Source organism: Homo sapiens, chromosome 11 (genome assembly GCF_000001405.40).
Source record: "Homo sapiens chromosome 11, GRCh38.p14 Primary Assembly".
Lineage (NCBI taxonomy): Eukaryota > Metazoa > Chordata > Mammalia > Primates > Hominidae > Homo > Homo sapiens.
The window spans coordinates 7,312,903-7,327,203 of NC_000011.10; the positions used below are offsets into that span (position 1 = coordinate 7,312,903).

The 14,301-nt window shown below is 37.0% G+C and overlaps 1 protein-coding gene across 10 annotated transcripts in view; it reads left to right on the plus strand.

Annotated features, from left to right (window-relative positions):
- The window catches only part of SYT9 (synaptotagmin 9), a 230,266-nt gene that overhangs the window by 74,125 nt on the left and 141,840 nt on the right, over nt 1-14,301 (plus strand). For 8 of the 10 annotated variants that reach the window (XM_011519902.3, XM_047426379.1, XM_011519901.3 and 5 more), the window contains exon 3: nt 493-1,039. In XM_011519902.3, the coding sequence (XP_011518204.1) occupies nt 493-1,039 (547 nt within the window). Of the gene's footprint in view, nt 1-492; nt 1,040-1,282; nt 4,236-9,259; nt 10,808-14,301 lie in introns of those variants that run through there. The other 2 variants (XM_011519907.3, XM_011519906.3) reach the window with 2 other exon arrangements.

The window sequence follows — 14,301 nt, forward strand, 5'->3', positions numbered from 1 at the left end:
TGAACCAGTAAGAATTTATATCCTTATAAAGCTATAAGCCAGTGGCAAGAAATTCTGTGTAATTTAGAGAAAGATTCATTCTTCTTAAGGCAACACTTGGCTATTTCAATTTCAGAATTATATTATATATAAAGTTGAATAATTTTATTTTTAAAGCAGTTTGTACAAATCTTTACATTCCACCAGAGGAATAAGCTTCTTTAATGGCATATTAGACAGTTTAGGAACTATATTAAACCTTTAAAGCTCTGAGGTCACATGTTACTAGGTTCATTTCCTGATACCAAGCCTCAGTTGTGAGCTTCAAGCCTTACGGAGCAGCTTACTCACACTGATGAGCATTTTGAATTTAGGCCACACACACACAAAAAAGGCCCACAGATCTAAGCTCCTGACAAAATATAACAGTCTACCTACATCCCAGGCAAAAGTTTCTGAGAGACCCATAGCTAATAAGGTTATAACTTTGTTCTGTGTTGCTCTTCATTCAAGGCATAATTCAATCCGAAGACAACTCAACTTGTCAAACCCGGACTTCAATATCCAGCAGCTTCAAAAACAGGAACAGTTGACTGGAATTGGTAGAATTAAACCAGAGTTATATAAGCAGAGGTCATTGGATAATGATGACGGGAGACGGAGTAACAGCAAGGCTTGTGGGAAACTGAACTTCATTTTAAAATATGACTGTGACTTAGAGCAGCTCATAGTGAAGATTCACAAAGCTGTCAATTTGCCCGCCAAGGACTTTTCTGGGACTTCAGATCCTTATGTCAAGATCTATTTGCTTCCTGATCGGAAAACAAAACACCAGACTAAAGTTCACAGAAAGACCCTGAACCCTGTGTTTGATGAAGTGTTTTTATTTCCGGTTCCCTACAATGACCTTGAAGCACGGAAGCTTCACTTCTCTGTGTACGACTTTGACAGGTTCTCTCGTCATGACTTAATCGGCCAAGTGGTGGTGGATCACTTCCTAGACTTGGCTGATTTCCCCAGGGAGTGCATCCTTTGGAAGGATATCGAATATGTCACCAATGTGAGTCCAGCATTTCTTCATTTTTGTGGTGGGGGGCATCTTGGTTAGCAAGGAAACAGATTACTTACACATTATCTTGAGGACAAAGTGTAAAATTCCTGTCAATGTACATGTAGCAGTTATTTCAGAACCTCCTTGTACCTTTTCAGAAACAGGGTTTTAACAATATTGATTTTGAAGTTTCCAAGCATTATTCCATGAAAACAATATTAAAGAATAACATTCTCTCTTTTCTACTTTCAGATTCTTAGCTAGCCCCTAAGAGACAGCAGGTGTTATCTGTCCTCCGTACCACATTTTCTTTAGAGCTTTTTCAGGTTGTTTGTGCTGAATGGAACCTGGCATTCTATTAACTGTAGTCTGCAGCTAAGAGACCATTACCTGACTCTGACAGCAGTAGGTACTTACCTGTCTTCTGAGGTTGGCTCAAGAGCATTTCCCATGATTGGATCCTCAGCTTCAACCCTACCAGTGGGAGTGGTTGAGAAGAGTTGGCAACACATTTTTAAATGTAAAACTCACAAAATCCAAGTTACAAGGAGGGAAGTCTGAAAAGAAACTATAGATAATGGCAAAACTAATCTATCGACAGTCACATCCAATTTAGGGCTCAGGAGAGAAGTCAAAGGTGCTATGTAGTGGTACCATACGTCTATGTCTACATTTTAAACACAAGATTTCAGAGGTGATATTTCTACTCCATTTATATCCTTTTCATTATCCTGCAGAGGTGTGTTGGCATTCCAGAAATAGAAAGGAAAATTGAACATTCTTAGGTAACTCTGATATTTTAAAGCCACTTGTTTCTTTCACCTGTCCAAATTCCCTGAGATAACTTTGTTAGCTCCTCTTCCTGGATATGAGCTATTCTGAGGCCAGCGTAGCTCTCTTTCTCTGCCATGGCATCCAAATGGACCAAGCACCACCGTCTTTATTCAGCTCAGACACTGATTCAGCTTGAGTCTGGAGCCTATTTAGTGAAAGACTAATCTCTGCCTAATGACCAAATACCTGCACCAGTACCCTCTTATCCTCAGCCACTTTTATGAACTAGGGACTCACCCATGCTCTGATTGCCCTGTGGGACACCTTCTCTCCACATGCCACAGGGTTCCAGTGCCAACTTTGTGCTGCTATCCAAATAAACAAAATGTAGCATGGGAGTCTGCTGGCCTTTATCATAATCATGAGGAAAGAAAGAAAGGAGTTGGAGCTGGATAAGGTGCAGAGAATAGCAGTTGATGAAACCAAGGTGATTTGGGATACTGGGGAAGGAATAGGTCTCTTTATCTTAAAAGATAATAATACACATAAACCCAACAATGGATGCTGGGGAAAGCAAGGCTTGTCTCCCAAATCCCAACTGACAAAATCAGGAAGCAACATGAGAAGGTTTAAAGAAACAAAATGGGAAGGCTGCTTATACAAAGATACGAATGGCTCAGGCATCACCCCCCACTGGGGTATTTACTAAGTCTCCCTGGTTATGGGAGCTGAGACACTGCCAGCTGCAGTGAGGTGCCTTGAACTTAAGTCTCATCTCAGGTATGGTAGGGAGGTGTTGGTCACACCATCTAATGAGACATCAATTTATACTTTTTGACAAATGGATTCCATAAAATAGCTGGAGAGGTTATTAGAAAGTTCAACGAGGATCTTGCTGAGAGTTGCCTTTAGAGACTTTGTGGTGAGAGCAACGTTGACTGCGCAGTGGCTGATACAAATCTGGATAAGGCTGATGATCCCTGGTGGGAACGACTCCTAGGACAGGTTCCTGTGGAACAAGAATATGGAGTGGCAGGTGATGGAGACCTTCTGGCCCTGAGATCACTGCCATTTCAGCATTCTCTTGGGAGTAAGAGTTTCTTTTCCATTGTTGGAAAATCCTGGATTTCCATAGGGTTAAGGAGAATGTGAAATTATTTATCAGGGAGGAAAACCAATAAAGCTACAGGCTTCAGATTTCTCAGTTGTTTCCTCAGGCAAACAATAAATCTTCTGAGCATTGATCTAAGCCTTTGGATGGCCACGGGAGAGGGTAGGTCCTGTCAATGGAATTACAGGCTATTTCATAGTCTGCCATATTATTACATTCCATTTTAAAAAATGTTATTTGGGGTTGTGGGGTTTTTTTTTGTATAGAGACTGAACATAAAGAGCTGAGATTTGCCATGATTCTCTTTTTATAATATAGAATGTATATAATATAGTAAATATAATAAATGGATTAATGAAGGAAAAATTAAATGAACAGGCCTGAACCCACCATTTAGTTGAAGAATAGAACATTACTTCTATTGACCCTTGAATTGTCCTCTATTGCATTCCCTCTCAGTCCAGTCCTGCCAAGAGAAAACCACTATCTTTAATTTTACTTATATCATCATATAAAAAATATATATGCATATACATATGACAATATGGGTTTGGGTTTTGTCTATTTTGGCATTTTATTGCTCTTCTTTGACTAGCTTTTTTTCTTTGGTCAACATTGATTATGGCATTTAGTAATAGAAATAAGCAGAGCAGCTGTGGCTTATGTATCTTCATTGCTATATAATATTCCATTGTATTAATATTAATATATGACAAATTTGCATTCTTGTACTGATGACATTCAGGATGTTAGTTTTTCTGTGATTCTGAATAATATCGCAGAGATTTTGTACACATCTTTTGGTTCACATATGCAATCATTTCTCTAGAGTTTATCCCTGATAGAGGTAAGGTATACATGTGTTCAGCTTTTCTAGATAATGACAGTCTTTTTCAGTCATTTGCACGTATCACAAATTGATCCTTCCACTGTTGAAATGTGATGATCCCTAGTGTTCCACTTTCTCTCCAACTCTTGCAGTTGCCACACTGATCAATGTATGTGTGTGCATGTATGCAAAATGATATATTATTGGCATTTCTTCAGTTGTCCGGTTTGACCATCTCTTGATATGTTTATTGGTCATTCATGTTTTCTTTCTTGTGAAAATTCTTGTTCAGCACTTATTCTTTTGTTTTCCTTTCCTTGTTGATTCACATAGGCTTTTTAAGCAGTTGGGATGCAAATCCCTTGTTGGTTATGTGTTTTACAAACATCATCTCTCAGTTTATGGCTGTCTTTGTATTCACTTTATGGTGTCTTTGATAAATAGAGGTTATGTTTGGTGTAATAAAATGTATCAGGATTTTCTGTTGTAAATTAGCGCATTTGTGTCCTACTTAAGAAGTACTTCCTTACCCTATGTCAGGAAAGATATTTCTCCTATGCTTTCTATTAGAAGTGTTAAGGTTTTGTCTTCCTCAATTATGATTTTAATCCATCTAGAATGGAAATGTTTACATAGTGTTATATAGGCATCATATATCAGTCAACTTGGGCTGCCATAACAAAATACCATAAACTGGGCAACTTAAACAATAGATATTTATTTCTTAGAGTTCTGGAGCCTGGGATATCCAAGACCAAGTTTCAGCAGACTCCATTCCTGGTGAGGCTCTCTTCCTGGCTCACCTTCTCACTGTGCCCTCATGTGACAGAGAGAGGGAGAGAGCTCTGGTTCTAGTCTCTCTTCCTCTTCTTATAAGGACACTAATCCTACAATGGGGGCCCCACCCTCATGACCTCATGTAAACCTGATTACCTCCCAAAAGCTTCATTTCCAAATACTGTCACAATCACACTGGGGATTAGGGTTTCAATATATAAATTGGGAGGGACAAAAACATTCAGTCCATAACATATCCATATTTATTTTTCTATATGGGCAAAAAATTTTCTGGCATATTTTCCCAATAATATGCACTGTATGCTCTGTCCTATGTAGATTTCTGTATATGCACAACCTGTTTCTGGATTCTCTTTTCTATCCACTGGGATGTTTAACTATCTCTATGAATAGCACAATTTGCAAATTACTATTGTTCTATGATAAGCCTTAACATCTGGAAGGGCAAATCATCCAGCCTACCTCTATCTTAGTTCAACCTTGGCTGGTACTTGACTTTTCTCACACATTTTAGAATCACATTGCCAAGTTAAACACCCTCTCTGGTATTTGGATTTGTATGAAGTCTATTGATTAATTCATGAAAATTTTATATCTTTTGTGATATTGAGTCTTTCTACACGTGACCATAGTATATCTCTCCATTTACTTATTCTTTTACTTATTTCTTCTTTAAAGTTTTTTATTCAAAGCCTATAATTTTCTACGTTAAGATCTTGCATGTCTCTTGTTAGATTTATTGCTAGGTACATTACTTTTTGTTCTTTTAAATGTTATCTTCTCTAAAATTTCATTTTCTAACTATTGCTAGTGTATAGTTAAAATTCTTTATGTTAATATATCTTCTATTTGGCAGTCTTGTAGAACTCATTAATGCCTTTTTTTTTTTATGGCATTTTGCTCTTGTCACCCAGGCTGGAGTGCAATGGCGCAATCAAGGCTCACTGCAACCTCTGCCTTCAGGGTTCAAGTGATTCTCCTGCCTCGGCCTCCTGAGTAGCTGGAATTACGGGCGCCCACTACCACGTCTGGCTAATTTTTGTATTTTTAGTGGAGACGGGGTTTCACCATGTTGGCCAGGCTGGTCTCAAACTCCTAACCTCAGTGGATCTGCCGGCCTTGGCTTCCCAAAGTGCTGGGATTTCAGTCATGAGCCACCGCGCCCAGCCTTAGCTATGTATATTTTGTGGATATATTCATATTAAGAATGTTTTACTCTATTCAGAGTTGAGTAAGCCTTTTTATCACACGTAATTGTTTTATCGTATGCTATAATCCAGTGAGGTTTTTTTTACTCCTTTAATCTGCTATTTTGGTCAATTACATTGATTGATTTTCTAATTTTGAGCCAATCTTATATTCCTAGAATGATCCACACTGATCTTGATATAGTACATTTTCTTTACACTGCTGAGTTCAGTTTGATAATATTTCATTTAGCATTTTATTTCTTCTGTGCTCATGAGTGATGCATGTAATATGCTGTCTTGTACTGTCCTTGTCTGGCTTGGAATCGAGGTAATTCTTGCTTTATAAAGTTAGTTTGGGGCATTATTTTGGATGCCTGCTATTTGTTCCTGCTCAGTGTCCCTGAAGGCTTTGGGGTTTTTGTGTATCTTTCTTCAAACTGGAAGAATGCCCCTAGTTTCTGACTTCTCCTTAGGTTCAGACAATGAGAAAGGGAGGAGAGTGGGGTCAGGATATTCATTCCCCTATTTCTTCTTTTTTTTTTTCTTTTCTTCTTTTTCTTTTTTTTTTTTTTTTTTTTTTGAGACTGAGTCTTGCTTTGTCGCCCAGGGCTATTTCTTGAGGTATCTGTAGGCTGGCAATAACTTTCAACTGAAAGCCACAACTCTGGAATATGCCTTTATTTTGCTTTTATTCTTAAAAGATTGTCTGGGAATAACAATTTGGGAGCACAAAACTGAGTTACTTTGATTTTGCCATTATAAAACTATCATTTCATTGTCTTCTGACCTCCAATTGTTTTTGAGAAGTTGACATTTGGTCTAATATATATTCCTTTGTATAGGAATAAAACCGTAATTACCACAGACCCCATAACACTAGCTCAGTGGTAATTTGGGTATGAATGTTTTAAATGCATAACAATGCGAATTGTCAGTATTAAGTCAAATGCAGCTAGAAACAGTAGTTTTCTTATGGTAGTGCAAGTTTGTATTAATGGTTAGAAACTGGCTGAGGGGACTTTTGTTTCTTTTTTACACAAAGCAAGTCTAAGACAGGCATGATGTTGGGGATAATATCTGTTTAATAAGCAGGGGAGAAGTTCTGTGTTGTTTATCCTTTAACGATGTGACTCTCAGGCTCTGCAGTCCTCTGAATGCCAGAAGCTAAGCCACCAGAGACTCACATTTACCTCCATTCAAGCTCCAGCTGCAGAGTTTACTTACCTCTGTGGATTAATGCTTTCTTGTTGTTTCTGTCCACTGAAAAATTCTCTTTCTGGTCCGTCAGCTCTGCTACACATTAAGAAGAATTTTTTAATCTAGTATTTTTACCTGAAGGAGTTTCTGTGAGTATTCAAACCTATTGCAAGAAACACTGCTATATGGCTCAAAGCTTATTTTTAAAAAGCCATTTTGCTTATACTAACTGAGTAGTAATCTGTGTATTATATATTTGTCTTTCAATTGAGTAGAACTTTAGAGGTCCTTCAATCTAGCAGATAAAGCTGAGATGAATGGCCATTAGGACATTCAGCTGAGGTTACATAGCTGAATAATAGCCAAATCAAAATTAAGACCAAGTTTTTTAAATAATCATTTCAGTCTGTGCAGGAAAAGGTGGCTCAAAATGATCATATACACTGGTTTACTTCTCCTTCCCCTCTTTACCTGGCTAACTCCCACTAAGCTCTTAAATCCCAGCTTATGTGCCATTTCCTCAGAGAACTCTTTTTCTGAGCCCTGGACTAGTGTAGGTTTTTCTGGCATTTGTTTCCATGACACTCTGTATTTCTATCATTACTCATGCTTCTTTTGTGTATTTGTTCAATTTTCTTTCTATAAGTGCAAAACCCACATTTGGTTTGCTTCCTGCTGGGTGCTCAACCTCTAGAATGGTGTCTGAAAGTTAGATATTTAATAAGCACTTGCTGCATAAAGTGAAACTCCTTATGAGGGACTAATTTGTTGAGTCTCTAGGGACTGCTTGAGTTGGAGGCTGTTATGCAGAACTGAACTCATAAACTAATCTTTTTTAAAAAATTCTTTGTTTCTCCAAGGAGAGTGTGAGTTTTATAAATGTTGGCACTCAAATAAAAATTAATCCTCATGCTTTCCTATGAAAGAACAAAACGGCAATTATTGAGTGTAAAAATGATGGTGTAATTAAACCTCTCAACTACTGAAGCCAGATCAATAATAGTACAATACATCTTTGTGAGGATTTTATCAGTCAGCAAGAGAGAAGACAGCATCAAGGGGGAAGGTCAAAATTTCGGAGACTATGAGTCCAGTGTTCTGGGTTAATGTTGTCTGTCAGGACGATCCTCTTGGCATTTTTAGTATACCCCACTTACTAGTGGCTTTCTGAAAAAGTAGGCATTAAGCACTTCAGGAATCTCTTTCTTGGTGGTTGGCTTAGAAACTGGTTCGGAGACTGTCTCTGGGAGCTATGATCACCTCAGTTAGACTCTGATTTGGAGAAGATGCCACAGTTCTCATGTAATGACAGTAGAAGTAATGAATTTCCCTCTATGCCAATACAGATTCCAGTTCAGAAGAGGCAAGGACACAGTTTACAACAGCATAGACTTTCTTTTAATGTTAAGAACTTAAAACTCTTATTTCAGCAAGGTTTGTTATTTTGTAGTGACTGATTTGGAGACTTTCCTGTTCTGTCTCCCAAAGGCCTGAGGCCACTCGCAGACCTGATGGAGGTGGACACCTGGAACCACCCAGGCAGGGGGAATATAAGTATTCAGGGAAGTCCAGAGTGCTTGCTCTTCATAGTCGAATACAAATGGGGCAGGCAGGCTCTGTGATTGAAGATATTTATTAATTTGAATCCCTTTTCATTTCATTGTACCATAAGTCATATGTGATTATTATATTGATGCAACACAAGTGAGCCCCAAAACTGGGGCTTAGCCCAGGAGAGTTCTTGGCTTCACCCAGGAAATAATTCAAGGGCAACTCAGTAATGTTTGACAGCAGTCTTTTATTGAACAGTACTGCTCCATGCAGAGCAGGGGTAACTCATAGGCAGTGTGCCCAGAGTCAGCAATGTATGAGCTGTTGGCAACTGAATATATACCCAGTTATACCCACTTCCAATTACATACAAATTAAAGGGCGGGTTAATGCAAATAGAGGGGTGGGTTATTTAGGACTTTCTAGGAAAGGGTCAGTAACTTCTGAGTCATTGCCATGGAAAGGTGGTAACTTCTGGGTTGTTGCCATGGCATTTGTAAACTGTCATGGTGCTGGTAGGAGTGTATGATGTAAATGAGCAATGAGGGCAACTAGGGATCACTTTCCTTGCTATCTGCTGGCTCTTGCTGGTTCCTTCACTTCATCCCAGTGGGAAATAAGTCCTGCTTGTGTCCTACCTCCGTATGATTTTAAGGTTGTGTTACATTCGGTGGTGTCCTGGTAGATGCTTAACAACTCGTTGTGGGGCAGGGATGGGGGAAGGAAGGGGACCTGATTTTAGCATTTGGTGATTCCTGGGTTGTAAATACTCCCAGCAGGGCTGATTTCAAGTTGCCAATGTGACATCACTGAAAGCAGAGTTGGCAAGAGATGCTCACCCACAATTGACTCCCCAGGCTGCTGCCAGCTTATAGGAGCCAGCTCCAGGACACCACTACACGTAGTGCTGAAAATGCAAAAAGGACCGGCTGCTTAACTGATCCTAAGGGACAAGCAACTCGAAAAACACCACAGAAAGCCATGGTTTCCAGCTGCCAAGAGGGAAGCCAGGTTCCTTCTATAATGTGGGTGAAGTCTGGATACCACTAGGGTCTACTGAGCTGTATCTTTATGAGAGTCCACTGAATCTCACCCTATCATTTTTCCCACTTGTGATCCCTCAGACATGTTATCCCCTTGATGTCTAGATTATTCAGAGGGAGTGAAAAGTGGCAGCACTGTAGAACAGCACAACTGAAGGAAGGGATTGATGAAGCTACAGGTCTCTGACGAAGAGACTTTAATAGCTTTTATTCTAGTGAGGGTGCCAGGACAAAGTGTTTGGTTTTTTTAATAAAATATATACCATCAAGATATGAACCACCAATATATTAGCCAATATGTAAACATCAGTCAGTCCAGAATTTAGCTGAAGAAAGAGAACATTATCAGTCTCTTTGAAGCTTCCTATGTGCCGCTCCTCCAAATCCCCCTAAGAGATTATCTGTATACTGAATTTTATATGTATAATTCCCTGTTTTTAAAAATCATTTTACCACTTAAGAATAGGCTATTCAGTTTTGCCTATTGTTGAAATTTATGTGAAAGATACTATATTGTGTTTGTTCTTCTGCAAACTGTTATGTTCAATATTATGTGTATTAAAATAATTTATGTTCATGTACATAACTAGTTCTTTTTTGTTGTTTTGCAGCATGATTTTAGCATTCCATATTATATGGTCTACAACAATTTATCTTTCTTCTGTCAATGGTTATTTGAATTAATTTTAAGTTTTTTTCTATTTCAGAAAATGCTGCTATTAATCTTTCTTGTATGTGTCTCCTGGTAAATACATGCAGGAATTTCTGTAAAGTATATACCTAGGAATGGAGTTGCTAGGTTGAAGTAAATTGTATCTCTAAGAAGTTTGACCACTTACAATCCCACTAGCAGTATTTGAGACCATCTTAGACTATGTTCTCTCTAACACTTGGACTTGCTATACACTATAATTCTAATAATTTGACCACAGATTCTTTTGAGTTTTGTACATTCACAATAATACTATGCATGAATAAGGACAATTTTGTTTCTTCTTTCTTTTTTAATTATTTTGCTTGCTCTCCCTACCTCATCTTTTTTGCTTGTTTTATTACATTTATTACAATCACCAATACAAATGCCAGTGGAGTAAACCTTGGTTTGTTTCTGTTCTTGAAAAAAATGCTTTGATTATTCATCACTAAGTAGGACATTGGCTATAGACTTTTTGAAAACCTGAATGGATATTGAATTTTATCAGTTGATTTTCTGTATCTATTGAGAGAATCATGTGTTTTGTTCCTTTTATCTTTTAAAGTAATAAATTATATTGCTATATTTTATACTTTTTATGAAAACTTGTATTTCTGAGATAAATCCAACTTGTTCACAATGTGTTGCTTTTTTATATACATGGATATACATGAATGTGTGTGTGTATGCGTGTGTGTGTTCAGCTATTTGGTTTGCTAATATTTTAAAAATTTTGTGACTAAACTTGTGAGTGAGATCAAACTGTGATTTTTTTTTCTCTCTTAATCTGCATTTTATTATTAAAGGTGTACAAGCCTTAAAAATGAGTTATGGCACATTATCTCTTTTCCTAGTCTCTTAAAGATTTTGTGTCATTTTGTGTATGATTGAAATAATCTTTTCTGTCAATGTTTAGTAGAACTTTCTAGTATAACTTTCTGGGTCAGATATTTACTTTAGGGGAAATTAATTCAATTTATTTGATGATTATAATACCAAATTATTTTTTATTTCATTGAGAATTGATTTTGGTGATTTAGATTTTTCTAGAAATTTGCTTATTTCATCTATGTTTTGAATGTATTGTCTTAAAGTTCTTCATAATTTTTTCTTCTTATTTCTGCCTTATTTCTGGTTATGTCCTTATTCTCATTTCTAATATAGATTATTTATCCCTGTTCACTTTCTCATTGATCAGTGTCACTGGAGTTTATCAGTCTTATTGGCCTTTTCAAATAACCAACTTTTAATTCTATTAATTCTATTTAATTTTTGTTTTCCATTATTTTTCCTGTATGATTTTCTTTCTTTTTTCTTTAGTCTATTCAGTTGATATTTTTAATAATTACTTATATCTTTAGGTTAGTAATTTGCAGTCTTTTAAAAACTTTTTTAAAATATGCATTTAAGACTATAAATTTCCCTTGAAGTAGTGCTTTAGCTTTATGTTTGCAAATTTTGATATTTAGTGTTTTCATTTTTATTTTTATCTAAGCATCTTCTAGCATCAAATATGAGTTTTTCTTTGGTCTATATATTGTTTAAAGGTGTGTTTTTAAAATTTCATATTGCATAGTTTTTTTAAGCATTATTTCTGTAACTTAATTAAAAATGTGATTGGATAATATGGAGTGTATTTTATAGATTATTTGATATCTGTTCAAATTTGCTTTATGTTCTCTTACACATCAGTTTTTATAAATGTGCTAGGTGCTCTTGAAAAGATTATGTCTCACTCATATCTACATCTTGAATAATATTTTTCCTCAGTCTAATATATCAGTTATTGATAAAATGTGTTTTTCATCTCCTACTATGATGGTGGATTTTCAATTTCATCTTTAGTTCTATCAAAATTTCTGCTTAATGTATATATGTAAAAATATGATATTAGTACTTTTTATATATGTCTGGTCTTTTCAACATTTTGTTATTATTTAGTGTCTCTATATAGAGAAATGCTTTTTAGGCCTTCAAGTGTTCTTTGGCATTTATAAAGTTTAAAAATTTTTCTTCCAATTCTGTGAAGAAAGTCATTGGTAGCTTGATGGGGATGGCATTGAATCTGTAAATTACCTTGGGCAGTATGGCCATTTTCACGATATTGATTCTTCCTACCCATGAGCATGGAATGTTCTTCCATTTGTTTGTATCCTCTTTTATTTCCTTGAGCAGTGGTTTGTAGTTCTCCTTGAAGAGGTCCTTCACATCCCTTGTAAGTTGGATTCCTAGGTATTTTATTCTCTTTGAAGCAATTGTGAATGGGAGTTCACTCATGATTTGGCTCTCTGTTTGTCTGTTGTTGGTGTATAGGAATGCTTGTGATTTTTGTATATTGATTTTGTATCCTGAGACTTTGCTGAAGTTGCTTATCAGCTTAAGGAGATTTTGGGCTGAGACGATGGGGTTTTCTAGATATACAATCATGTCGTCTGCAAACAGGGACAATTTGACTTCCTCTTTTCCTAATTGAATACCCTTTATTTCCTTCTCCTGCCTGATTGCCCTGGCCAGAACTTCCAACACTATGTTGAATAGGAGCGGTGAGAGAGGGCATCTCTGTCTTGTGCCAGTTTTCAAAGGGAATGCTTCCAGTTTTTGCCCATTCAGTATGATATTGGCTGTGGGTTTGTCATAGATAGCTCTTATTATTTTGAAATACGTCCCATCAATACCTAATTTATTGAGAGTTTTTAGCATGAAGGGTTGTTGAATTTTGTCAAAGGCTTTTTCTGCATCTATTGAGATAATCATGTGGTTTTTGTCCTTGGCTCTGTTTATATGCTGGATTACATTTATTGATTTGTGTATATTGAACCAGCCTTGCATCCCAGGGATGAAGCCCACTTGATCATGGTGGATAAGCTTTTTGATGTGCTGCTGGATTCATTTTGCCAGTATTTTATTGAGGATTTTTGCATCAATGTTCATCAAGGATATTGGTCTAAAATTCTCTTTTTTGGTTGTGTCTCTGCCCGGCTTTGGTATCAGAATGATGCTGGCCTCATAAAATGAGTTAGGGAGGATTCCCTCTTTTTCTATTGATTGGAATAGTTTCAGAAGGAATGGTACCAGTTCCTCCTTGTACCTTTGATAGAATTCGGCTGTGAATCCATCTGGTCCTGGACTCTTTTTGGTTGGTAAACTATTGATTATTGCCACAATTTCAGCTCCTGTTATTGGTCTATTCAGAGATTCAACTTCTTCCTGGTTTAGTCTTGGGAGAGTGTATGTGTTGAGGAATGTATCCATTTTTTCTAGATTTTCTAGTTTATTTGCGTAGAGGTGTTTGTAGTATTCTCTGATGGTAGTTTGTATTTCTGTGGGATCGGTGGTGATATCCCCTTTATCATTTTTTATTGTGCCTATTTGATTCTTCTCTCTTTTTTTCTTTATTAGTCTTGCTAGCGGTCTATCAATTTTGTTGATCCTTTGAATTGGAAAAAACTACTTTAAAGTTCATATGGAACCAAAAAAGAGCCCGCATCGCCAAGTCAATCCTAAGCCAAAAGAACAAAGCTGGAGGCATCACACTACCTGACTTCAAACTATACTACAAGGCTACAGTAACCAAAACAGCATGGTACTGGTACCAAAACAGAGATATAGATCAATGGAACAGAACAGAGCCCTCAGAAATAACGCCACATACCTACAACTATCTGATCTTTGACAAACCTGACAAAAACAAGCAATGGGGAAAGGATTCCCTATTTAATAAATGGTGCTGGGAAAACTGGCTAGCCATATGTAGAAAGCTGAAACTGGATCCCTTCCTTACACCTTATACAAAAATCAATTCAAGATGGATTAAAGATTTAAACGTTAGACCTAAAACCATAAAAACCCTAGAAGAAAACCTAGGCATTACCATTCAGGACATAGGCGTGGGCAAGGACTTCATGTCCAAAACACCAAAAGCAATGGCAACCAAAGCCAAAATTGACAAATGGGATCTAATTAAACTAAAGAGCTTCTGCACAGCAAAAGAAACTACCATCAGAGTGAACAGGCAACCTACAACATGGGAGAAAATTTTCGCAACCTACTCATCTGACAAAGGGCTAATATCCAGAATCTACAA